At 40.8% G+C, this 25,540-nt stretch overlaps 1 protein-coding gene across 3 annotated transcripts in view; it reads left to right on the forward strand.

Moving 5' to 3' along the window:
- The window catches only part of ROR1 (receptor tyrosine kinase like orphan receptor 1), a 407,482-nt gene that overhangs the window by 92,971 nt on the left and 288,971 nt on the right, over nucleotides 1–25,540 (forward strand). The window contains exon 1 of one of the 3 annotated variants that reach the window (XM_011541526.2): nucleotides 1–24,505. This exon is cut by the window's left edge and continues 23,120 nt beyond it. The exons of the other annotated variants lie outside the window; for them this stretch is intronic. The gene's annotated coding sequence lies outside the window, so the exon portion shown is untranslated. The remainder of the gene's footprint in view (nucleotides 24,506–25,540) is intronic. 3 annotated transcript variants of the gene reach the window in all.

Below are 25,540 nucleotides of genomic sequence, written 5' to 3' on the forward strand. Positions count from 1 at the left end.
AGTGAAAACCATTATTTTAATTAATCTAGCTACAGTGTTTGTACAGCCAGCTATGCAGCTGAAGGCTGCCATGTAGTAGCTGCTACACTGTTTGGCTCCTGTACTTATACTGTATGGGGACCTCTTTCTTAGACAGTCTCACTCCTGCTGGACTGTAAACTCCTGGAGAACAGGGACAAAGCCTTGTTCATTAGAGTATTCCTAGTGCATTCCACTATAATAGACACATAATTAATACTTTTAAAAAATGAACAAATGAATAAGACATTTGTACAGAACTTGAGTGTTAGACCAGGTGGTTTCACAAAACAAAGCGCTCACGGAGGTTTATTGGCCTTCCTCCTATGTCTTTGACCTTTTCCTTAGCTTGTGTCTATGCTGTGTTTCCTGTCTACGAGATGGTGGAGATGGCGAGCCCAGTTTTCTTTCATCTTGAAAGGATTCAGCTCCATTACTTAATAGTCCCAGTCATGTTCCTTTCCCCCTAGAATCTGTGTATGAGATGTGAAATCCATGAAAAGATAATGTTGAATGGGAAAAATTAACCTATTTTGATGACTTTTAAGGAGTTCTAACTGTGCATGATAGCAGGCGACTCCCTTGTCAGTAGGCAGCAGGCCTGTGTTATGTCAGGGGTAACGAGGTGGTTCACTTGTGGAGAGTTTTCTGTCTTTTCTTCCAAGTTATGCTGACCTCGCCGACGAAAATATTCCCCATCTAATAAAAGTCAGAGCAAATTTATGGGCCTGCCCCTGACCACTTGTCCTTTATCCTTTAAAAGAAAAAATAAATCTAGGATAAGATCCATAGGTTACTGTTGGACCATGGAAATGATGGGCAGGGGCCAAATATCCCACCTTCCTTGATCTGCTTCTCTTTTCCCGATTCCGGCTGTCTGGGGGATGCTGAAGCTTGTGGCATGAGGGTTACTGCCGAGCATGGCCATGTCGTTAGTTCCCTTTGGAAACAAGCTGTTGCTCTCCCTGCCTGGAGGGCCACACGCCTTGGCACCACACTGAAGAGATCCCAGGCGTGGCTGGAGTGAAGCTGCTAATGAAAAAGCAGCCATGGCAGGTCAGGACGAATCAAGCAAAAAGGAGGACATTCTATAATTAAAGATTCAGAGAAATACTAGCGCAGTTTTTGTTGTTGTTGTTGTTGTTTTGTTTTTTTGTTTTTGCCAACGCTATGACAATTGCTCTTTCTACCTGTTCCCGTGGGTTTTCTGTCATTTTATCACTCATTAAACAAGTGTTTATTAAATCTCTACTTTCTGTGTGCTGCTTACCTGTGTGCTGTTGACCATAGTTCAGGGATTACTTAAAGCATCAATGAGTGTGCGATGACTCAGGAATGAGTCGGGTCCTCAAGGATCTTGTCACCTAGTAAGAGACAGAGAAATATGAGGCAGAGGGAGGCTGGGCCATAGGATATGGCAGGATGCAGAGCAAAGAGCTCCAGAGTCTGATAGACCTGGGATCAAATTCAGGCTCTACCACTTATGAGCACATTTGGCTTTGGGCAATTTACTTAATCTTGAACTTCAGTTTCTAAATCTTTGATTGTGCATAATACACAGCGTCCTGGAAGGGTTGTTTTAGGATTTGAAATAAGCTGTGAAAAGGGCCTGGCCTAGAGTTAGCACTTGACAAATGGCTGCTCTTATTATTTTATTATCTCTGGCGAGGTGCTGATAACCATGTGAGTTCAGGGGAGGCAGTCTCCACCCCGTGGACAGAAGTGAGAGGATCAGCAAGGGGATCAGGAGTTTCATGGGGCACATGCCTCTGCACTGAGCTTGGGAGAATGAGTAGGATCTGGGAACGTCGTGAAGGAGAATAGAGAAGAAACTTTATTCAAGACATAGGTTTTTACACATTTTGTTTTGTTTTTAGCAAATAGGCACTTATTTTGCATCATTTTTATTTGCAGTATGCAATCAAATTGTGAGATTACTTAAGCCTTAGCATGAATCCCAGTGCCAACAGTTGTGTATTTCTTTCTTCTGCTTTCTTTTGTTGTCCCCCACAACCTTCTCTGAACAGCATCTATTAAGTGATTGCAGAGTCTCATGACTTGGTTGTGTTGGAATCTCTGCATTAGTGGGGACACCCTTCCAATTCCTTGTTAGGATCAAATGTGTTTTAGAGAAGGTATCTGGTTCCCAAGTTCTCTGTTGTTTTTTGGAACCATGAAAGCCTAGAGATGTTATGGCAGGATGTCCCTAATATGCATGGCAAGCCCTCGACAATGATTATGGCAGTTGTTACTATTACTGATTATTTGTAACTTCTAATAATCCAGAATTTAAATTGGTCAAAGACACGCTGCTCCTCAGGGAGTCTGAATATACTGGTATCAGCCCAGTGTCCTTCCACACTGGCCTGCAGCTCATTGTGACTGGGCCAACTTTGGCCTTTGTGCCTGGCTTCTATGCCAACCTGCCAAGTCCTTGAGATGCTGTGCACCTTACTATTTTTTGTCAGGCCTGCTAAGAAGGGGGCTTGTGTCCTGCAGATCAAGGACCAATAGGAAGCCCTCACCACAAACCTGATTCACAGTACTCTCTCCTCTTTGCACTTTGCACTGAAGAATCATCCTCTCCTCCATACACATTTTTTCCCCAGTACAGAACTTAGCTTTGTGGTGCTGGGTTATTAAGGAACCCAACTTGTATCCACTGTAGTTGTAATCTTGCTGGTCTTTGTCTGAGTTGCAAAACAACACTCATGGAAGTCCTCATTCAGTTATTCTAGAGCACTTGTTGAGCTCCTGGTAGAGGCAGAGTGCTGTCCACCAGATTTGTGCCTGATGGCACAGAGAATGATCAAAAGGAATCTTGCAACTGGACATAGTTTCTTTAGACAGAGACAGAGGTAAGTAAGTAACCTCACATAAGTATCCTAACTCTTATTTTCCAAATGTTAATGCTTGACTGGCATGTTATAAAGCTAATTTGTTTATAGTTGTGCCACATAATTATACACTCTGTACATAATATGCTTTTGAAATTATTATTTATTGCACAAATATTACAACAGAAACTGAACTCAAAACACAAGGAAAAATGTGTGTGGGCTCACCATTTGTACGAGTAAAACTTTTAATATATTTGTGTGTTCACTCATAGTCCTTATCCATGAATTCATAACTTTTGCACACAGTGGAAATCATACTGAAGATACCATTGGGTGTTCTGTTCTCCCCATTCTCCTCTCCCCATACACCATAATATTATTCATGTATGCTCTCAAGTTTAATCATGTCTGCATGCGGACATTTAGCTATCCTTAGAGAGCCCATAATTTGAACTCTGAGCATCTAGAGGAAGCTGCTGCCCCCAGCCCACTTAGGTACTTTCTTTTCCCCTTGTGGTGAGAATAGGAATTAGGTAGCAAGAGTTCCCAGGCTTCATTGTCCAAGGCTATGTTAGTATTTTCATCATAAATCTTGAGGCATCGCCTATTAAAGCCTTTTTGCCTTTCTCATTAAAAGAAGAGAATTTAGAAGGAAATATTTGAAAGACTCTAAGATGCCCAGGAGAAAGGTTCCAACATTATTACTCTGAGTAGACCAAGTTAGGTGTGGGTATATATTAATAGTAACTAAACACCTAGCAGTTTGGTGTATTCTGGAATGCTCTTGACTTGGGCTGAATGTGTCTGATGCTCTAGGTGTTCTTGCTGTCTCTGTCTGTCATCTGCCTGTCATTCTCCTGTGAGGGTAAGTAGTATCCCTTCCCAGACTGAGGATGGAAATGTTGAGGGGTGTAAAATGATAACTCAAACCTTTCCAAGAGTCCCCAAAGTGTGTACAGTGCATATGAAATTCTCCAAAAGGAGAAGAGGGATCTGGAAGTGCCACTGGGAGTGAGAGGCTGGGGAACCAGTGGAGTAGAGGATAGTAGTGGCTTGAAGTCACAGAGCAAGAATTCAAAACTTTGCTCTGGCACTAGCTTGGTGGCCTTGGGCAAATTACTTAATGTTTCTGAATCTTTCCATGAGGAAGATAATTACATTGCCCACCTCACTTGGTTGTGGTCGGTATTAAACTGGATAATGCAAATAATGCACTTAGCACAACACCTGGCATAAATAATAAGCACTCAATAAATGTGAAATGTTATGGTTGTTATTTCCTGCTTCACATTATAATTTTATTGCTTTCCAGACTGATGTCTCCGAACTTAGGTAGTAGTGGAGTCTGTGAGCTATTTTCAGTATTTCAAAATCTATGAAAAGGAGACAGTTCTGGTCACCATAATAAGTACATGACAGATGGAGTCTTTGAAACATGGTACCCACAGGGGAAGAATCCAGAAGGGGTCCTTTGTGTTGAAAAGTTGAGGCCTCGAGCTGAGGAAGTTAGCAAGTGCTTCAGTGAAAGCTTGTGGGTTTCCAGTTACAATGGGAGTAAATAGAGGGATGTTGTGAGCAAAGAACTTGATTGGTTGCTATGAGAGATCGTTCCCCTGTGGAGCATCAGAAGTTGATGCACTCTGGAGACCCCAGTTGCTCTGTCATGTTTACCAGTTTGTAGAATGTGTTATCACTGCCAAGCACCTTGGAAGCAGTGAGAAAACTGCCAGACAAATGGAAACCGGTTTCTCTACCCAACTTGGTAGAACATTTGCTCCAGGCAACCATACAGGCTCCAGGAGACATTTGCCTTGACAGTGCCTATTTTGTAAAGCTGTAATTTAAACTGACAAAACTTGATTTTGACATTGCAACAAGGTCTCTGTAGACTTAACACTATGTTCATTTTCCCATGCTTATCCCTACTGGAGACTGATGGGTTTACACCAACATGGAAGCTGGTTGGAATGGAAACCATCCAGAAAATGATTAGGGAGCTTGAAGCTCTCTGAAACTGGGCATAATGTGTATTAAGTCATTATAGTTTTAATGAAACTTGTCTTAGCTGGGGTCTCTTAACCACTTGTTTTCTAGTTGTAAATATTGAGTCCCTAATTTACACTAATGAGATGCTGTTGAGATTTAACGCCAATCTTATACTGCATTTGTCAAAGTGTAAGAGCTAACCTGAAATGTAGCTTTGCAAAATATTCTATTAAATAAACTTGGTGGAGAAGTAGCAACAAACAAACTGCATGCTTTCAGCAGAAACTGTCAACATACACATCTCTGAAGAAATTCATATTTTATGCCAGGGTGGTCTACAGTAGTTCCCATTAGTAAACGGTTAAATATCACCCTTCCCTGGTAAATCTGAATACTTTTGTGTCTGTTGTGAAATGCTGTACACATCCTCTTTTGATGATCTGCCTGGGAATTCTCCACTGTGAGAATTGTCTCTTAAAAATGGGAAGCAGCAAGGCATAGTAGAAAGAATATAGGCACTGGTGACACATATATTTAGGCCTGAGCCCAGCTCCCAGTTGGTGGCCAGGTAAGTTCTTTAACCTCCTTTTGCTTATTTTTTTTTTCTCCCTGCAACATGGGGTTGGTAGTACTTATAGGGCAGTGCTATCCAAACACTTAGTAGAGGTGATAATGTAAGTAGTGAACGTAGCTCCTGACATATAGTTGGTGTTCCCTAAAGGATAGATTGAAAGATATACACACCACCAAGTTGAATTCCTCTCAGATTTGTCCAAGGCCACCCAGCCTTTCTTGGCCTTTTCTTCCATCATTGGTTAGTGTGTGTTCTTGAAGGCAGTCTGATTTTATCCTTGGCTTAAAAAGTGGGGAAATATTTAGGAAGCCTAGCCTAATGCAAGAGAACTCATCTATCTTACTGTAGGATCAAATACAAATGGTTTTTGGATTGTCCATTATTTATCTCTCACTTCTCTTCATTAGTGGTGCTAATGGAAACACAATTATCTTCATAGACTTTGTTAGTCACAATCTCTTGGTTTCTTCAAATCCCACAATAGCAAGAATATGTTGTGGTTTTTATAATCTCTTTTGGTTCCTCAAACCCAAAGAAGGACAGTGAGAGGGTGGGAGATGATTTGAGAGGGTATTTACATTCCCAGGATTTTCAGATATATTTATGATTTTATTTTTTTGGAGACAGTGTTCCAATAGAGAGGTATTCTGTCTTCTCTTTTCTTTTTTCTCTTCTCTCTCCTCCCCCCAAATCGAGGTTGTAAGTGATGTGAGAGACCTGCTGTGAACTGCTGTCACCAGATCCTGCTATGATTTCTCTTTGTTCTTAGTTCTGGAGTCATCAAGGCTACATGGAGACACGTACCTTCCACTGATATGTTTGCTCCTTGATTCAGGGCTGAGTGCCTGTTTGAGTGATTCTGGCTACAGCTAAATGATATTTCTGTTTCCAATAGTATTGTAAACTATAGAGTAAGAATTTTCTTGTTGTTGTTGGGAGAGTTTGTTTTTCTTCTTAGTGTGTATTATCTCCCACCCCACTCCTCCAACCCGTTCTTTAAAAAACAAAACAAAACCAACAAACAAAAACTTGCATTGAAGCAACACCCAGAAGGAGTGAGCAGGCCTAGGCTGGAGTCTTATCCTGACATGGTAGAATCCTGTTACTGTCTCTTCGTAGATTCATTTAAATTGTTTTGACTGATTCATGCAATCTCTCAGTCCATTGATCAAGTCAAAAGAAAAAGTATCACTAAAAACTCACAGGACTGGTGCAGGTAGAATATTCTTTATCTATGGAAAATTCATTATCCTATCTAGAAGGATGTCTTGAAATAGCAGAATATTTTTATTATGTTTTTTTTCCAAGTAATACATGGTTCAAGAAAAAAGAAATTTTAAAAAGCCACACTAATAGCAAAACTAAAATAAGCATGAATCTTAATTTTAACAAAGATTACAGTAGTCCATGGGAAGGATTGTCTGCCCATTGCAGTGGGTTTGATTGGTTTTTTTACTTGGAAGTGCTCATATTCTGGAATGTGTTTATAGATCTTGACCTTAGATACTTCTCCTGACTCAGAAATTGTAAAATGTTTTGCTAGAGTAGCCAGTGGTGAGAGACCGCTACTGCTGTATGTTGCTCAGGGCTAACCTGTTAAGAACTGGTCTCGTCGCTCAGAGAGAACCATGATGCTGATGCCAGTTTCTTGTTTATGTAAAAACATTTAAAAATGGGCAAGATACTCTCTAAGTACAAGATAGTTATTATTGAGATATGTTCATGAATAAATTAATGAGAGAGGAACTTGAGATAAAGGAAATGGAGGAGAGAAATTGCATTTTTCCTGCATAATTACTCTCTTGTTTTAGAACACAAGTAGTCCTTTGGCATATTTTCAAAGTGTGGTATGTTTCACTTTTGTTTAAACTTGTCAAATTCTCAATGTAAAAGCCATTTAAGACTTTTTTTTCCTTCTTTTTTGAAGGTTGCTTCTTTTGGCCTCTTAAAGATAATTAAGAGCTGTAATTTGTGAGGATTTTGATGGCATTTTTTGGCAGTGGTAGTGCAGGACAGGATACATGAATCATAGCATCTGCTTATTAGCAAGGTCTCATAGATCACTTGTCCAACTTTCCACCGGGTGCTGAGATGGTTGGTCTCTGTTATCTGTTCTTCCCACTTCTGCTGGATACATTCTGGGAAAAGAATTTCATTGATGAGTGAGCTGTACTTCCACTTCTGAAGTACAAAAGTTATTAAGCTAGGGAGCATTTTCTCCATTTGACACCTACAGGCCACTCAGTAAAAAAGCAAATGAATGATGAATGAGTAAGGTCCCTGGGCTGCTTCCTACTTCTTCTTAGAGTGGTTAAGGCCCTCTTGACATTTTTGGAGGATGATAAATGTGTGCCCTTGAAGTTTCCTTGTCCAGGTCAAACAGCCCCAATTTCTCCATGATCTTTGGACATTGCTTCCACATTTTCTCTCCTTCTTGCTCTCCACAGGGCAAGTTTCATTTCATCAATTTTTTTTTGTAAAATACTGTAAAGATATCTGAATGAAGTAGACCAGGTATAATCTGATAAGCATAGAGTATGGTGGAGCATTTCTTTTAAGGTTCTGGGTATTGTTATTATCCTACTAATGGAACCAGCATTTGCTGGACCTTTTGGGGCCACCATGCCTTAGACAGGTAGATAATGGAATGGCATAGAGAACAGCCTGAAGCCGGCTGTCTTGGTTTGAATTCAGACTTACCATTTATGAAATGTTTGACCCTAGGCAAGTTGTTTAACCTCTCTGTAAACTTGTCTTCATTTGTAAAGTCAGGGGTAATCATAGTACTTATTTATACAGTTATTATAAGGAGTAAATAAATTAGTTTGTGCTGAGTGCCTACAACAATGCCTGGAGTGAAATAAGCACTCTGTGTTAGCTTTTATTGAATTTACAATGAAAAACGTCCAGGTCTTACTATCTGAAGTGCAGTTAGTTTTTTCAGCAAGGCTTTAGAATTAGACAGGGCTATGTTTAAATCTTAGCTCTGCTGTGTGTTTTGGGGGAAATTACTTTGCCTTTCTAAGCTTCTGTTTCCTCGTCTGTGAAAAGGGCATTAAAGAATAAAATCAGTTGAATTTCTGAGCCCTAATTAAGAACCTTGAGGGCAGAGCCATGGTTTACACTTGCTTTTTTTCTTCTTTCTTAACTTTACCTGGTATGCCATGTTTATAATCACTGCTAAATTAAAATAGTAAATATTTAAACTGAGTTTTCCCTTCAGTCTACCTTGTAGTAGAAAAATTAAATACTTCTATGTTACTTAAAACTGCACACTCACAAGTTTATGGTGGTGTATTGATTGGTTGTTCTGAAGAATGTATTCTGCTTGCCACCATGAACTGGGCTTCAGAATAAATAGGCTTCCTTGATCACTTCTCTCCTCATTAACTACTGTCTGGAATTTAGAGGGAATACAAAGTCTGGTAGCTACATTGCCTACTAATCTTGCAAATGGCCTGTGAGGTGGGTAAGCAATCAGGTGAGTGACAAAGGTTATAGTCAATTTTCCTGGCACTCTGGGATTTATTTTTGTGTCCTTGAAGTTTTAAGCAAGTGAGTTTTGAGGTTGTTGAGAAAGTGGGAGACTATATTTTAAAATGGTTTATAGTTATTAATGTTTTCAAATCTTGGTGGGATTTTAAAGGTGGGTTAAGCTGCGAAAGTGAATGTAAGTTAAAGCCAGTTAAATAGAGGAGTCCCTCGTTCATTCTGTCTTTGGTATGCTTAGGATTTCATAAATTTTATGGGTTTCAAAATCTTTGCCTTGTTTTGAATGTTTCTAATAAGATGGAGTGAAGTGGCTTACACCTCATGAGACATGGAACAGTTATCCAGGAATGCTGCTTGGCACACATATAAAGAAAGCACTGGTCTATTGATTCATAAAAAATGTGTGACTGATTTTCCTGGGACATGTGCATTATTTTCACAGAAGAATTTCATTTTTTACTTCCTCCCACCCTGTGCATCACTTGCACACGTTTGCAATTCATCAACTCTGATTTCCAAAACTTCTGCCCCCTCTTCCCCCAACCACCTCCATCCAACTACCTAAAGTGAAATATATTAGATGGAGAGGAGGGAAATTTCCTTAAATGCCTAATTTTTATGTCTGTAAGGGGCATGGTGAATTTGAGAAATGGTCTGAATGTTAGCCCAGATGACTCAATGCAATTATGAAACAAATTGGAAGCTGTTTCCATGAAAGAGTATGTATGCATGTGTTTCCACGAAAGGGGTGTGTGTGTGTGTGTGTGTGTGTGTGTGTGTGTGTGCGCGTGTGTGTGTGAGAACATGTGTTTAGGTCAGTTCTTTCATTCGTTCTCTTTCTTCCTCTTCTTTTTGTCGTTTCAAGGCTATGTTTTAGGTTGGCTATACAGCAATGAGGTTGCACTACACAGCCTCATCCCCTAAAGCCAAAATACAGCAAGTAGAAGACTGCTTAGCTCATCCAGTGAGAATCTCATGTATTATATTCTTACTTGCCATTGAGTTGCCAGAAAAAAAATAAATAGCTTTGTCTTAGAAAGCAATAACTTTTCTGCAATGAAATAACATTAAACAACTCTACCTGGTATGCCATGTGCATTGTTTTTCCTTTCTTGGAAAGGAAAAACTTTCTTAGAAAACGAGGGCACACAATGATTAGCGCTAACTTTCTCTTTCATGTGTCCAACTTAAGATTTTCTAGTGAGGCAGAGTTATTTCCCCTTACATGCTTGGTTTAATGGAAAGGGCCTGGCTTTCAGTTTTGTTCATATTCAGCTACCAAGACCCAATCAGTTAATAACTTTGCCCAGAGTTGAAAGAAAAATTCCTCTGGGTACAGAGTTAAATTCCTCTGCGTGTGGAAGGCCATAGTGGTTAAAAAGTTAGGCTTCGGAGCCAGATCAACATAGATTCAGATGTGCCTCTGCTGCTCAATGTGTGATGAGGGCAAATTGCTGAACTCAAGTCTCAAGTTTCCTCATCTGTCTGATGGGGATCATAACGCACATCACCTGACGTTGTAATAATTGCCTGACAATGTGTATAAGGCACTCGTGTAAGATCTGGCACTTGGCAAGAGTAAAATGCATTTTAGCCTATACTTTTTACTCTTCATTTGTAAAATTGTGGTAAAGGGATTGGCCCTGGAGGGAGTAGGGTGAGGTGGCATTTTCAGGAAGGTAGCACAAGGTTACAGGGAGGACAATAGAAATGTACAGGATGGCTGAAGACTCAGTAAGTAAATAGCATTGCTTCTTACAGCAGGCCGGAGGAGATCTCTATATTTTTCTTTATTAGAGAAAATTTAAGGGATATTGATTTTTAAAGGGAAGATTTATATTTTAATTTTAAAGAGGAAAATTTATCAGCTCCTATATATTTATTAGACATTTTGGGGGGGAAACAGTGAATGAATGAGACTGGTCCCATTTGATGTATGCTGTCAAAGTTTATAAACTATCTGATGAATTAGTAAGAACATATCAAACAAGACAAAGAGGCTCATTGTTAATGTGCGCAGGTGAGGCTTTGCAGGCTGCTTGTGGGTGAGGGTAAAAGTTTTCTTAACCTCAAGCCTGGATTCTGACCATAGAAACATTCCTCCTGAGTGAGTAGTGCTTCTAGAGTGCTTTCCTTCAAGGACCTCTCCGGCATCTGGCTCAATCACATGCCATCTTTTTCTCCTTTACATCTGCTTCCTTGCCCCACTTTGGCACCCAGCTAAGTGTGGGCAGATGGTGTGGCCTTGGGGACTCCAGAAGGGCCTTGGTGTCCTTCAGTAGCATGGAGTGTATAGCAGGGTCTGCCCGTGAAGGACCAGGGAGGTGAAGGGCCTTACAGGACTCATGTGGAATGCTTGTGAATGCATTATTTCCAAATATCCCTGAGTATTTGCAAGCGTTTTTATATACCTTTACTTCCATTTTGCTTTGACAACACCATTACCATTCCTTGACGATGAGGAACTGATCGGAAATAAACCTAATTGTTATTTGCTTAACAGTTTCAAGACCTGCAACTTGCAGCAGTCTCCTGACGGTCTCTGTACATTTTCTCTGTCCCCTTCTAATCTATTCACCACATTGTAGCTGGAGTGATTTTTTTTTTTTTAAACAGAAATCTGATCATGAGCTTTCTTGGTTTAAAACTCCTTCACGGCTGCCATTTGCTTACAGGTTTAGGGCTGAAATCCTTGCCATGGCTTGGCTTACAGGACTCTGTGGGTCTAGCCTCTGCTGACTTTGCTCCTCAGCACCAACCTATTCATCTTTCATCCTTCCCTCTTTCCAGAAAACCTAAAGGTGGAGCCCTGTCTGCTCCATCTGCTGCCCTGGTTACTCTCATCCAGGGCATTCATTCTCTTTTTATAAGTACTGTGAGGCCTTTTCACAATTTGTTACTACTGCATAGTTATGTACTTATTTCTTGCCAGTCTCCCTCACAAGGCTGCAAACTTCAGGAGAGTGCAGACCGCAGCCTGTTCAGTCCTCATGGTATATGAAGCCTGTTGCATTACAGGTCCTGAGCCTCCATTTGTTGAATAATTTCATTAATTAATTAACCAATTAATTAATTTCCTCTAAAGGGTTTGAAACCCCAACTATTAAGGCTTATGTTGAAAGGACAATTTAAAGGAAAATAAACTGTTAGAAGAGGGAGAGATAGAAGCCCCAGAAACTTGGAATGAGTCAGATCTTACAGCTGAGCAGGAACGCAAGCTTTGAGGAAAGCTTTATTTATTTAAATAGGAGTCTCATAAGGAAGGCAGAAAAAGGAAACCCAAGCAGATGACTTGGTTCCTATTATCTGCTGAGAGGAAGCTCATCTGGAGTGATGACTTTTTCCTGGCACTAAATTTGACCTGAAAATTATAAAATGAATCCATACAGAATAAAAAATACCCTCCTGCTCCCATTATGGATGATGTCTTCTATTGTAGTTTGCCGAAGGGACAGAGTTTGTGAGAGGGAGTGAGTTGAGATGAGGTGGAGATGAAAGCCTGTATATAATTTAGAGAGAACTTGGGGCAAACTAGAAAGATAGCCTGTGGTCTGAGATGAGGGCCGATGCCACAGACATGGGGACCCCTTTCCTTTCTGGCAGCATTTTCCTGTGTGTATTCTGGGGGGCCTTCAAGGTATTCTGTGACAAAAGGGTTCTCTAGTCAGATAGGTTTGCAAAACACTGCGTATTATATCCTGGCCCACCCTTGAAGTTGTATAATGCATACCAATAAATAAAGACCCTGAGAAGTGAGAGTCTTATAGTGAAGAGATGTTTAGCTGTTTAATCCACCATTTTTCAAGCTTATTTGACCTCAGAAAACATAATCATAGAACTTCCCTCAAAACAGACCTGAGTAATGCTAATTTAGGAGTTGGAGAGAACAAGAAGTACCAGCATGAGATCAAGGTAGAGAAACTCAATTATCTTTGTAGAAACATTTCTACTTTGAAATAGAAATAGAATGATCTAAGCTGAAATAGATTTTTTTGTGTGTGTTTTATTATAGTAGTGGTTGGAGTAGGGGTCCCCAAAAAGTAAGGATTAAGGGAGTGAGGATCTTTCCTTTATGAAAATGGTATGGACCCGTGTCATTTAATGGAGGGTTTTGGTGGTTAGGAGGACAGGCTACTGGGTGTGAGTTCAGGGTCTACCATGTTTTAGCTGGATGACATAAGAAATTGCCTACCATCACAGTGCCTCCTTCCTCACCTGTGAAATGTGGGTAATAATAGTAATGACTACAAGAGCTCTTCTAAGAATTAAATGTGATGATGCATGTATAATGCTGAGAACAGTGCCTGGTTCAAAGTAAGAGCTTAATAAATGTTAGCTATTAGTATTGCTGATTAAAGAATGCCAAGGAATTAATAAGCATGGAAAGATTGGAGCCCTTTACTCAGAGCAAAATCTAGAAATGTCTAATAGCCAAAATATTCTTCTCATGGGGCCTTTTCCAGCTTGAGGCAAATGATAATATGTTTAGAAGCTGATGGGGTAATAGTTTCCCAGCTGGAGAAAAACCTGAGTCTTCATACAAGGAGAGAGAACCACAATGTGTGTTCCTGCAGTACTGCTGTGGAAGTCATGCTGTATGCAAGTACGTCCAAATCAATAATCATAAGTAGCCCCGATGGCTGAACCCAAAGTCTTTCTTTATAATCTTTTATATTATTTCTTTAAAAGACTCTGCCTGTAAAAGAATCTGAATCTAGTAAACTTACTCGTGATTTAATTTGAGCTCTGTTTGAGGTGTTGGCTCTGTTTGTTGATTATGCCAGGTTCTTTTCGGTTTCTAAGCAGTTGAATCAAGTGATAGAATGTCTGGTTTTCTAGTTGCTTCATACATGAAGTTGCATATCCATCCATCTATCCATCTATCCTTCCATCCATCCATCCATCCACGCAGTAAATATTTATCAGTCAAGTACTACTAACCACTTCCAATTTATGAAGCATCCTCACAAAGCCCCCAAATGTGGTTTAAATATAGCACTAGGAATTCTTTAGGCCTCTGAAAGTTACTTATGAAAATGACGGAGACTGTTCTGTCTTATTTTCTTATCCTCCTAATTTACAAGTTCTGTTCTGTGTACACTGTGACTCTGTAAGAGTAGTGTTGGAGACTAGATTAAATGTAGATCTAAAATACCCTGTCCATAGGCAGAGATAGGTAAAGAATGGCTAATTACTAAATAATTAATAATAGCTGGTGATGCTGCTGGCCCTTATTTGACCTTTACATAAGCACAGCTGCCTCTGGGCTCATCCCAGGGGCTATCTTTATCAACACTAGAGTGTGATAATAAATGAGTTTCTCTAGGAATTTTTCTTTTTGTTCAGGCACTGTCTCTGAAGAGTGTTCCATGGGAAAACAATCCTCATGATATACATTTTTTTAATAGATAAAACTTTGGCAGATCCATTTTCAACCCTGGCATTCAGACCTCCTAAAATTGCTATCAGCTAATAGAGATTTAGGATATAGAAAGCTGGGAAGGCAGTCAAATTGGTTCCCGGCCACTAAGGCCCTGCATGCATAAGTATCACATGAGGGCTATGGACACCAAGACCAATCAGGCCAGGCTTTTCAGGAAGCTCTGCTCAGAATCAGGTGGAGAACATTCTTAAGCAGTAGTCAATTATTATTCTTGAATATTAATCACAATTAGTGCAAAAGACTACCTCTTGCCACTACCAGAATTATTTTGTATATAGAGATCTTATATGAGCATGGGAAAATTTATTTTTTAAATGCTACTCTCTGGGAAACAAAGTCATTCACTCACCAGGTGTTTATTGAGTTAATTTTACGCCAGACACTTTGCTAGGCCTAGTGATACAAGGTGAATGAGGCATGGCATTGCCCCTAAGGAAATATAAAATAGTATAGAGTTTCAACTTAAGTGTCAGATCCAATCTATTAATTGGTAGTGGCTGCCTGGAGGATTGTGTTGGGGAGAATTCTGAGGCTTTGTCTGGACACAGTGATTGATTAGAACAATCTTCCTTGAGGATAGAAAGGGGATAATGGTAGATGTACCACCCATTTTCTGTACCTAGTCTTCTGAGAGACCGGCAGGCAGTTGCAGCTCCATATGTTAGGTACTATAGGAGGGGATCATATAGGATACTCTGGGAACACCTAATTCTGCACATGGAGCAGAAAATAGCATCACAGGCGGTTGAAACTTTGAACTGAGACCTGAAAATTAGTAGGAGATCCCCCCCGGTGAATAAACAAGAGAAGTGCATTTTAGGCAAAGAAGCAAAGTTGGACCTGGAAGCAAGCAATGGTAGGATGTGTTGGGAAAGGCAAATTGTTCTTTGTACTGGGAAACTTTGCCAAGACCAGATCTCACTGAAGGATTTGGATGTTAGGCCCAGGAGCCTTGGAGGACTGTGAGACAACACTAAAAAAATACCGATCCTTGAAAAATATTAATCTGAAAAGAAGGCACTGATGGCAGGCACCCTTTAGAGCTCTGGCCTCTGGTCTGTTCTGTTCAACCTCTATACTGATGGCTTGGTTAGACAAAGATGACGTGCATGTTGATCAGATTAATAGAAGACACAATGTTTGGAAGTTTTGTGAGCCTGTGGGTGACTTAATCTGAAACCAGATGTCTCAAACAGCTTGAACAATTCCAAACCAGAGGATATTTGCTAGGGAAAATATAAATTCTGTACTCTGGCTGAAACAACCAATTGTACAAGAGCAGGATGGAAGAATATTTAGCCTGGCAATAATATGTGTGACAAGAGTTAGATTTTGGTTACAAATGTCACCAGTCTACAATGTGACATGTCCACACTGAGAAAATAGTAATGATGGGCATGAAGAGTTCTAAAAAAGTTCTAATCATCCTGTCTCCTTCTGTCATGGGCCTACTACAAAAGGAGTGTTCATTTTGGTAAAGATGTTAAGATAAAAATTAGCTGGCATGAGTCCAGAGGAAAACATCTAGGCTGAGGAGATATTTTGGTTGATGATTTTAGGGTTACTAAACCCAGAAAGAGAAAATTAAGGACTGTCTTCAAATATTTTGAAGATAATCAGTAGCCTAGCACTTAGGCTTATGTTGTATGGAGTGATGAAAAATGGGTAGACATTTCTGGAAAGCAAATTTCAGCTCAGGTTCTCAATGAAGCCTCCAATGATGGGAGCTTCTTTGAAGTGGAAAGGGCAAATAATAAGTTTCCTGTCCGAGAAGTGAGGATGCAGAGAATGGGTTAACACTTGTTGGAAAGATTGTAGAAGGGATTTATGTATTAGATATTGTTTGGGCTCAAAGGTCCTTCCAACTCTGAGATTTTTTTCATTCTAGAGGAAAAAAAATATCCCTACACTGTACTGTCTTTGAAGCCAGAAAAAGAACATCTATAAATTTGAGCCCAACCTTTAAGTTGTGTCTCTTGTTGGGGCAGGTTTCTTGACTTGCTGTGATGACAGTGGAGCCTTTCTATCCCTCATCTGGACTTTACTTGTAATCTTAAAAGTCCTCTCTCTCTCTTTTTATTTTTTTAACATCTCCTTCCTCTGTTTTCTGGGCCACTCACTCAAAGACACCCCATAAAATATTTGCCCGGGAAAGAAGGCACCTTCCAATAAAAATACCTATAACCTGGAGGACAAGACACAAAAGCCTTATTTCTCAGCTCTGAGCTTTTGTTAAAACCTGTGTTATGACTGGGTGAAATGAGCTGGCCTCAGAGAACAGGCCAGAAAACACAGGGAATCCTTTGGCTGATTGGCATCCTCTGCCATTGGTGACTCTCCATAACCCATGTTGTTGTCTCTGGCCGCCAGCACCCCATCAGATGTTTTGCCAGCTTGAGTTCTGAGTCTGATTTCTCATGCCAGCTTCATCTTGGTGTTGCTGAATAAAGGAGTTTCCCACCATCACGATACACCTTCCCCTGCCCCTAGGAGAAATCTTCCTCCAGAGGGATGGGCAGCCATGTGGCTAAATGGGTTCCTGCTCAGAGGCGAGGAGGTGAGGAAGAACACAGTGCATGTGCTGAGCAGAGATCCAGCTCCTACTCCTGGTTTCTTCCAAAACCTGCCTGTTAATCACCTGTTTACATTGCCAAGCATGCTTGACTGGGTAATGATAGTAGGGGGAAAAGCAGTGAAAGGAACATCACAGGTTTTACTCAAGTGGAGTAATCCCTTCCTGATTTACAGGCATTTCGGTGGCTTTGGTGCAGACAGAGTGGCTGGTCTCATTCTTTTCACACCAATGGCCAGCAGCCCCCAGAAAGCAGTTGGACTCTTCGTACCCCTTTGATGTCCCCTCTTGGGTGATTCCCACGTGGAGGGTGGTGCCACTGGGCTTGGTTGCAGTCTGCCACCCCACCTTCCCAGTTAGCATTCCCACCTGCTGTTCCTGGTGACTCTTGGTAAAGTCAGACTGTTGGTGCCTGCACTTGTGGGTGTTATGTGAGGGACACATGGAGACCAGTTTGCTGTAGTCTCTTCTCTCACTGGCCTGCCCCGGTGCCATGATCTGAGGATACCACAGCTGAAAGGGAACTCAGAGGTCATCAAGCCTGACCCCTTTCATTTTGGCAATGAGGAAACAAAGGACTAAAGAGGTGAAGGAAATTGCTCAAGGTCACGCAGCTAGTTGGTGACAGGGACTGCAGCCTCAGCCTTTTGATTCATAAACCAGGGATCCTTTTTCTCTCCTAGGTTAAAGCATTGCCCTTTTTTAAATGAATATATTTATTTATTCAGAAATTCAGCAAATATTTATTGAACTGTGACAGAGATGAATAAAGTCTGTCTCCACAAACAACTCATAGACCTGGGGAGGAGACAGGGGATTATACAAATTAACTCAATGTGGAAAGTGCTGGTAAATGGAGGTAAGAATAGAAGGCTATTCTTTCCCTTCTCCGGGAAAAGTGCCTGACTTGTGTTTTGGTTATGGTGTGTTTTTTTTTTTGAGGAGAGTCAGAAAAGGCACCAAGGTAACCTGGAGACATAAAATAGCATAGTGACCCAGGAAATGGGCTCTGGAACCAGACTGCCTTCATGTGAATCCAAGCGCTGCTGCTCACCTGCTGAGTAACTCTGGGCAAGTTGCTTTTTGTGTCTCTAATTTCCACTCTAAAAATGTGAGGAAATTGATAATACTTATCTCCTAGATTTATTGTAGGAGTTCAGTGGGTTAATACATGGAAAACACTTTAAAAGTGTATTGGCATATAGAAAAAAACATAATAGCTATCATTATTATTATTATTTCAAGAGCTGTATTTGAATAGTATGCTGAGTAATGAGACAGATCCTTATGTTTCAATGGTGACCAAAGATTTAGAAATGTTAGCATAGTTGCCAGTGAAAGATGCTGGTTTTGCTTGGGGCTCCTAGGGAAACCAGGCACGTAGATGGGAATGGACGGGTACAGTCTGGAAGCAGTGGATGAGAAGGGATTTGGGGAAGAAGAAAGCCAGAAGGCTAGCATTTCTTTTTTCCTTCATGGTTTTATCTAAGTTGGGGCCACAGAGGGGTGAATATTGTTCTGTTGAACAAACAGGGGGATATGGCAGTGTCTGGGGCTTTGGGGGATCAGTGGTGGTTTCTGGGTATGGCTTTTGTTCTGAAGGAGCTTCCTTCCAGAAGTGGGGACGTGTGCCCACAGATGCCTGTGCCCTGAAGAGGTGCAACAACGAGGTTTCTCTTTTGGGAAAGAGGAGAGAGACCAGTATCTTAAGATGTTGTCATCTGGTTCCAATTTTCTCTCCTCACCTCTTTAGCATCTCTTACCTAATTATTTGCTTCCTGAAAGCATTTTTCTCCCAAGAGTAGGTGCCCAGAGATGCCCTTGGGTATAGGATCAATGCAACCGAGCAGATTGATTCCTCCAAACGTGAACCCTCATATGTTAGATCAGTGGTCCCCAACCTTTTTGGCACCAGGGACTAGTTTCATGAAAGGTAGTTCTTCCACAGTGGTGGGGGGATGCTTTTGGAATGATCCAAGCACATTACGTTTATTTTGCACTCTCTATTATTATTACATTGTAGTAAATAATGAAATAATTACACAACTCACCATAATGTAGAATCGGTGGGAGCCCTGAGCTTGTTTTCCCACAACTAGATGATCCCATCTGGGGTGATGGGAGACAGTGTCAGATCATCAGACATTAGATTCTCATAAGGAGCATGCAACCTAGATCCCTCGCATGCGCAGTTCACAGTAGAGTTCACGCTCCTATGAGAATCTAATGCCATCGCTGGCTGATCTGACAGGAAGTGGAGCTCAGGTGGTGATGTGAGCGATGAGGAGTGGCTATAAATACAGATGAAGCTTTGGTCACTCTCCCACCGCTCACCTCCTGCTGTGCAACCCCGTTCCTAACAGGCCATGGACTAGTACTAGTCGTGGCCCTGGAAGCTGGGGACCCCTGTGTTAGACCATTTCATATGGGCTGCATTCTTTTTTGGAAAATGAGGTGGTTGCAATGCATGGTTCTTAAGGTCCCTTCTTAGCACAAACATTCTTGTTCTTGGGCCCTGGTATTATGGATATTATACACATGGTTTTTGCTACTTGCCAGGGATCCGGGAAGGTCTGTGGCACCCGGTAATTTATAATTCTGCTGAGGCAAGGATTTGGCCAGAAGGAGTCACATGGCTGGTGAGTCAACTTAGCTGATCACCCAATCTCCACACTCAGTTCCTGGCACTTACTAACTGAGGTTGCAAAGGTCTCTGCATCTTCTCCTTCAGAATGTTGAAGGTTGGCTGCTACATCATTTTCCCTTAGATTTAGAGAAGAAAAGTTTTTCTACTAGAGCTCATATTTCTCTCTTCTTCCATAGCGGCTTTTATTTAAACTATTAGGAGAGAAAACCCTCCATACTCGACCACCCACCTCCACACTGGCACAAATCCAGCCTAAATCAGAACCGTCAGCTCACCCTGAGCCGGGCTGTGGACTTTTCTTCCAGGCAGGTGGGATAGGAATGGGAGTTGAAGTTTGAGCAACTTTTGAATTATTGCAGTTACCTGGATATATGATGTTTTTCTGCTGTGTATAAAGTGGGCTAGAAGGATCCTCACTCTTCCACACTCTGTCCTCCTCCCAAAAGAATTTCCTATTTGTTCAAGGTGCAGGATTGACAGCCCAGGAGACCTTGTGTCTCCACCTGGGCAGGTCAGACCATGGCCTATGTGGGTGGCTTGCAGCATGTCTGTGGAAAGTGGGCACAGACCACCTTTGAGGGACAAAGGGGCGGTTGTCTGAGGGCCCCTTTAGGAGCTCACCTTCCTTTGCCCTACTATTTCCTGTTTTGTTTTGCGTTTTGGGATGGGGGGGTTTGGGGATGTATAGGCCATGCTTGTTCACCCTGAGTTGCTGTCCTTTCTTCCCATAACAATGTCTGAAGAAAGAAGAGGAGGGTGGGCTTGAAATTGTGATGGGGCTAATGCTTATTTTGAATACATGAGGTAATTTTTTGGGTTTTTGTTTACTTTATTCTTGCTGTTGAGGTATAATTAATATAGATGAATTATGTGTTTGGTTCCATCAGTCTTAATAGTCATGTCCACTCATGAAACTACCTAAAGCAAGCTATAGAACATTTGCGTTATTTCAGAAAGTTCCCTTGTGCTCCTTTCTAGTCAATTGTACTACCCTGCCTCCCATCCCTACTCCCACACCTCTACCCAGAGGCAATCACTTTCTGGCTTCTATCACCATAGTTTATACACAGGGTAATTTTAAAAAGCGTGTATTCACTGCAACCTGTGTAAATCCAAAAAGGGTTACAGTTCTTTGGGGACTGTTTTTAAAAAAATCAGAAGGCTGGAGCTAGAAGCAGCTTTCTCCCATACCTTGAACAAATCTTTGACAATGATGGGCCTAGGTGACCTGATCTCTAAAACAATTATAATAATAATTCCTACCACATAGCAGAAAATGATAATAATAGCTGCATACTGTTATTGACCACTTCACTCTTCTGAACATTTTACTTCATTATCTTATTTAATCTTCAGAATGACACCTTGAGATGTGTACCATTTTTTCTATTTTAACACATGGCGAAACCAGAGCTTTCAGAGGGGAAGTAACTTGCTTAGGGCCACAGAGCAGTCAGTCATAATTCAAATCAGGAGCCTTTGTGTCCAGGGCTTTAACCTAGAGCAGGCCTATGAGAGACGGACTCTTGTGAACTGAAGTAGCAGCTAAGCAGAGGTCATTATTATTTTAAAAGCAGTATCTATTGGTCAGAGAGGACAGTCTTCCTTTTTTTCTATTTTATTACCTTTTAAATATTTACATAGAAAAAAATCTAGTTTTCAGAATGCTTGACATCAGTGGGTATCTGCAAATTAGAACTGTGGGTACTAAGTTTAAGCCTTGTGCTACCAACAGGAAACATGAAAAAAAGTCTGTCGTTAAGACTGATGCCCAGCTGGGCACGGTGGTTCATACCTGTAATCCTAGCACTTTGGGAAGATGAGGTGGGAGGACTGCTTGAGCCCAGGAGTTTGAGACCAGCCTGGGCAAACTCCAGATAGGGAGATCCCATCTTTACAAAAAAAACTTTAAAAATTAGCTGGGCATGGTGCATGTGCCTGTGGTCCCAGCTACTTGGGAGGCTGAGACAGGAGGATCAGTTGAGCTCAGGAGATCAAGACTGCAGTGCGCTATAATTGTACCACTGCACTCCAGTGTGGGTGACAGGGCAAGACCATGTCTCCAAAAAACAAAAAAAGACTGATGCTCCTTCTACTTGTTTCTTTCCCACAGAAAAGCATTGTGATGGATCTGTAAATATTATTTATAAATATAAATGACAATAAAGTGAAATATTAATTGATATAATTATCAGTGATATAATTTAAATTTTTATAGCTATCATTTGAGTTCCTAATATGTGCCAAGCATATGCTCAGCATTTGACATATATTATTTCAACATATAATGCATAAGAGACATTGTATTAGTTATCTATTGCTGTATAACCAATAACCCCAAAATTTAGCAGGTTAAACCCATAAAAGTTCATTATCTCATATAGTTTCTAAGGGTCAAGAATCCACATGCAACTTGGCTGAGTGGTTCATGAGATTGCCGTCATGCTGTCAGCTGCATCTGCAGTCTCTAAAGGCCTGACCAGGGCTGGAAGTTCTGCTTCCAGGCTCACTCAGTGACTTTTGGTAGGAAAATTCCTTGACATATGAGCAAGGAATCCATGAGTCTGCTTAAGACATGGCTTTCCCAGTGAGTCATATGACAGAGGAGGAGAGAGAGAGCCCAAGATGGAAGTCACAGTCTTTTATAACCTAATTTACAGAAGTGACATGCCATCACTTCTACCATATACTATTAGTCATAGAGTTTGACTGTGGTAAATATAGGAGGGACTACACAAGGATGTGAAAGCCAGGAGGTGGAAACACTAGGGCTATCTTGAAGGCTGGTTACCATAGGCATTATTAGCCCCATTTTACTGCTGAGAAATGCATGCTCAGAGAGGTTCCATAAGTTCCCAAAGTCATCTACCCAGGAAGTGAGCAGGCTGGGATTTGAACACTGATCTGGTGAACTGCACTGCCTGTATGCTTTCCAGAATGAATACCCAATGCAGAGAGTCCTGGAAGAACGAAGTGCATGCAACCCTGGCTTTGGGTATTCTAGCATGTTTCTGAGGGTGCCCCCGGATGGCTGTTTGCTCACAGATACCTATCTTTATATAGTTAGTATGTCCCTGAAGAGCAGGGCATAAACCAAAGATTTGCAAATTCAATTCATTTCAGATTCATGATGGAAGTTCAATATTTAAGGGACTTCTGCTTATATCTTCCTGTATCACTTGGTGATTTATCATTGGCTTTTAAATAAGCATTCAGGTAGTGGAGTATACCAGTAGTATTGCAATTGTGGGTGAATGAAACTACCCTGAAGGGAAGATTTTGTTTTTCTCTTCTAGAGTAAATGTGGAATTCAATCTTATTTAAAAATATTTTGAGATCCAAGAAGGATACTAATAAACCATGTGAAAGTCTAGTTATGTTTAAGATTCTAGGTGGTTGGTGTATAGATGGTGTTTTCCCAGACCATCCCAAGCCATCCTGGCTTACCACATCCAGAAAAGGGCATTTTTATAGTTGCCTCCACTGCAAGAGGACCTGACCACTGAGATACATCTTCCTGTCGTGACCTACTTAAGGGAATTTCATTTTAGGGAAAGAATTCAGGAAGATTATATGGTCTGTAGCTGGCCTATTAAAAATGTAAACATCTATCTGCTTTTTAATGTCCATACCAAGCAAATAATCAAAGTTACACATACTTCTGAAGCTCCTTTTCTTTGGAGATCTCGGACTATTTTATAGAAACAGGAAAATGTCACCTTTCTAGTCCTGTTTACCAACTCATTTTTCTTATTAATTTGCTAATCTGTCCTGCCTAGGTTAAGGGAATTTGTTATTCATTCTACTCATTTACTCATTTAACACTTATTTCATACCTGTCCTGTGCTACATGTAATAGGTATAAAATTCCATACTAGATATGAGGGGAAAAAAGATGAAAAAGACTAATTTCCTGCCCTCAGGGAGCTCATAGTCCAATGGGAGATTCAACAAAGAGAAAGAAGGTTACAACTCAAGGTAATCTTTGATTTGTCAGGAGTCATGCAGGAAAGAGTAATTTACTCTGGTTAGGGAGTACTGAAAGATTTATCTTGGGTGATGATGGATCTAGAAGGATGAGGGGGAGTTTGCTAAAAGAAGAAGCAAGGAAGGGAAATGAAAGTTTGGGGTGGTGGTGGAGGAGTTTCAGGTAGAAGAAATCATTCACAAAGGCATAAAAGTGAGAGACAGCCTGGTCCATTTTGGAGCAAGAAATTGGGCCATAATTGATGTTTGTATCTCTACCTTCCAGAGTCTCAGAAACTAGAATGTTTTTCTAGGACTGTTCCAAATCCAAATGTTGTCTACGGCCATACCACGCTGAACATGCCCGTTCTCATCCAAATGTTGTATCATTTATCACCCAAAATATAGTGTATGACAAGGAGCTCAAAACTTATTCTCAATGCCATGACTAATAGTGTTTTAAAACTATATTTTTCTGCCTGGTGTTCATCATGACCCTTGGGGACATATCTGGGACATGTCACATGGGCTCACCATGAGTCAGGTATGGGAATGTCACATGTCAAACTACTTTTGCTAATCAAATACACAAAATGCTGATTCCCTCACTGTTCTTGAGATTTGCAGCAGTCACAAGTTCCAGTTTGCTAAGAAATTCTCCTATGCCTGATTGGTTATATTATTGTTTCCATCTCTTTGCATCATTAGGGCCCTGTTGTTACAAGAAACAGCAAAATAAAAGTATTTCTCTTTTCGTTGTGGTAAATTGGAAATACCCTAGAGACTGTCAAAGAGGGATGTGAAAATATTTCAGAAATATTATTTCATGCCTCCTGACTACAGGATGGTGGTGAGGACTCCTTTGTCTGAGGCACTTAGAGCTGTTGAAGGTGTGTTGCCTGGAAATGCACCTCATGGGAAGACTTGCAGGTGTGAGCGGTTGCCTAGGAATGTCATTTCAGGATTGGTAAGTGTGATGTTAATTTTAGGTGTCAACTTGACTAGGCTAAGGGAGGCCCAGGTAACTGGTAAAGCATTATTTCTGGGTGTGCCTGTGAAGATTTCCAGAAGAAATTAGCATTTGAATCAGTAGACTGAGTACAGAATATCTGCCCTCAGATATTCATGCCTCGAGTATGCATCATCCAATCTGCAGAGGGCCCGGTAGAACAGAAAGATGGAAGATGGGTGAATTTGATGTCACCTTGAGCTAGGACACTTATCTTCTTCTGTCTGTGGACATCAAAGATCCTAGTTCTTGGGCCTTTGGACGCTGGGACTTACACCTGTGCTACCCTAATCCTGGTTCTCAGACCTTTGGACTCAGACTACATTATACCACTGACTTTCTGGTTCTCTCACTTGGCTTTTGGAGATGGCATATTGTCGGATTGCTCAGCCTCCATGATTGTATGACCCAACCCCCATAATGAATTTCTACATATATATATCTTCTTGGTTCTGGTTCACTGGAGAACTCTAATTCAGCAAGTCAAAGGAGGAAAGTATATTCACCTTTAGTTTGTCCCTACTACTTAGTGATTTTATTCACTTCTACTTTAATTCAATAAGCATTCATTAATTCACTTCTAATGGACCATGAATAGTGCTAGGTGCTGGAAATGCAAAGATTAATGGACTATGATTAAGACACAGTTCATTTCCTTGAATCTCACAATTGAATAGGGGAAAAGGTACAAGGAACGGTTATACTATGGTGCAAAGATAGATGTGTACGGGGGAGCTGGGCACTTCGCTGCATCTGGGAGGGCAGAGGAGGCTCTGAAGGAGATGATAACAAATTGGATCTGAAAAGATGAGTTAAGAATCTGTCTGACCCAGAGGTTTCATGGGTCTTTAAGCACATTAAGGAGACTTGAGTGTGGTTTATAAGGTATGATTTGTACAAAAAGCACAAATCATATTCCTGTAAACACTTGAAAGTATCACAGTTTCACATCCATGTAGTGAGCTGTAACTATGTTTATTGTATATTTATTGT

This window comes from Homo sapiens, chromosome 1 (genome assembly GCF_000001405.40).
Source record: "Homo sapiens chromosome 1, GRCh38.p14 Primary Assembly".
In the NCBI taxonomy this organism is placed as follows: domain Eukaryota; kingdom Metazoa; phylum Chordata; class Mammalia; order Primates; family Hominidae; genus Homo; species Homo sapiens.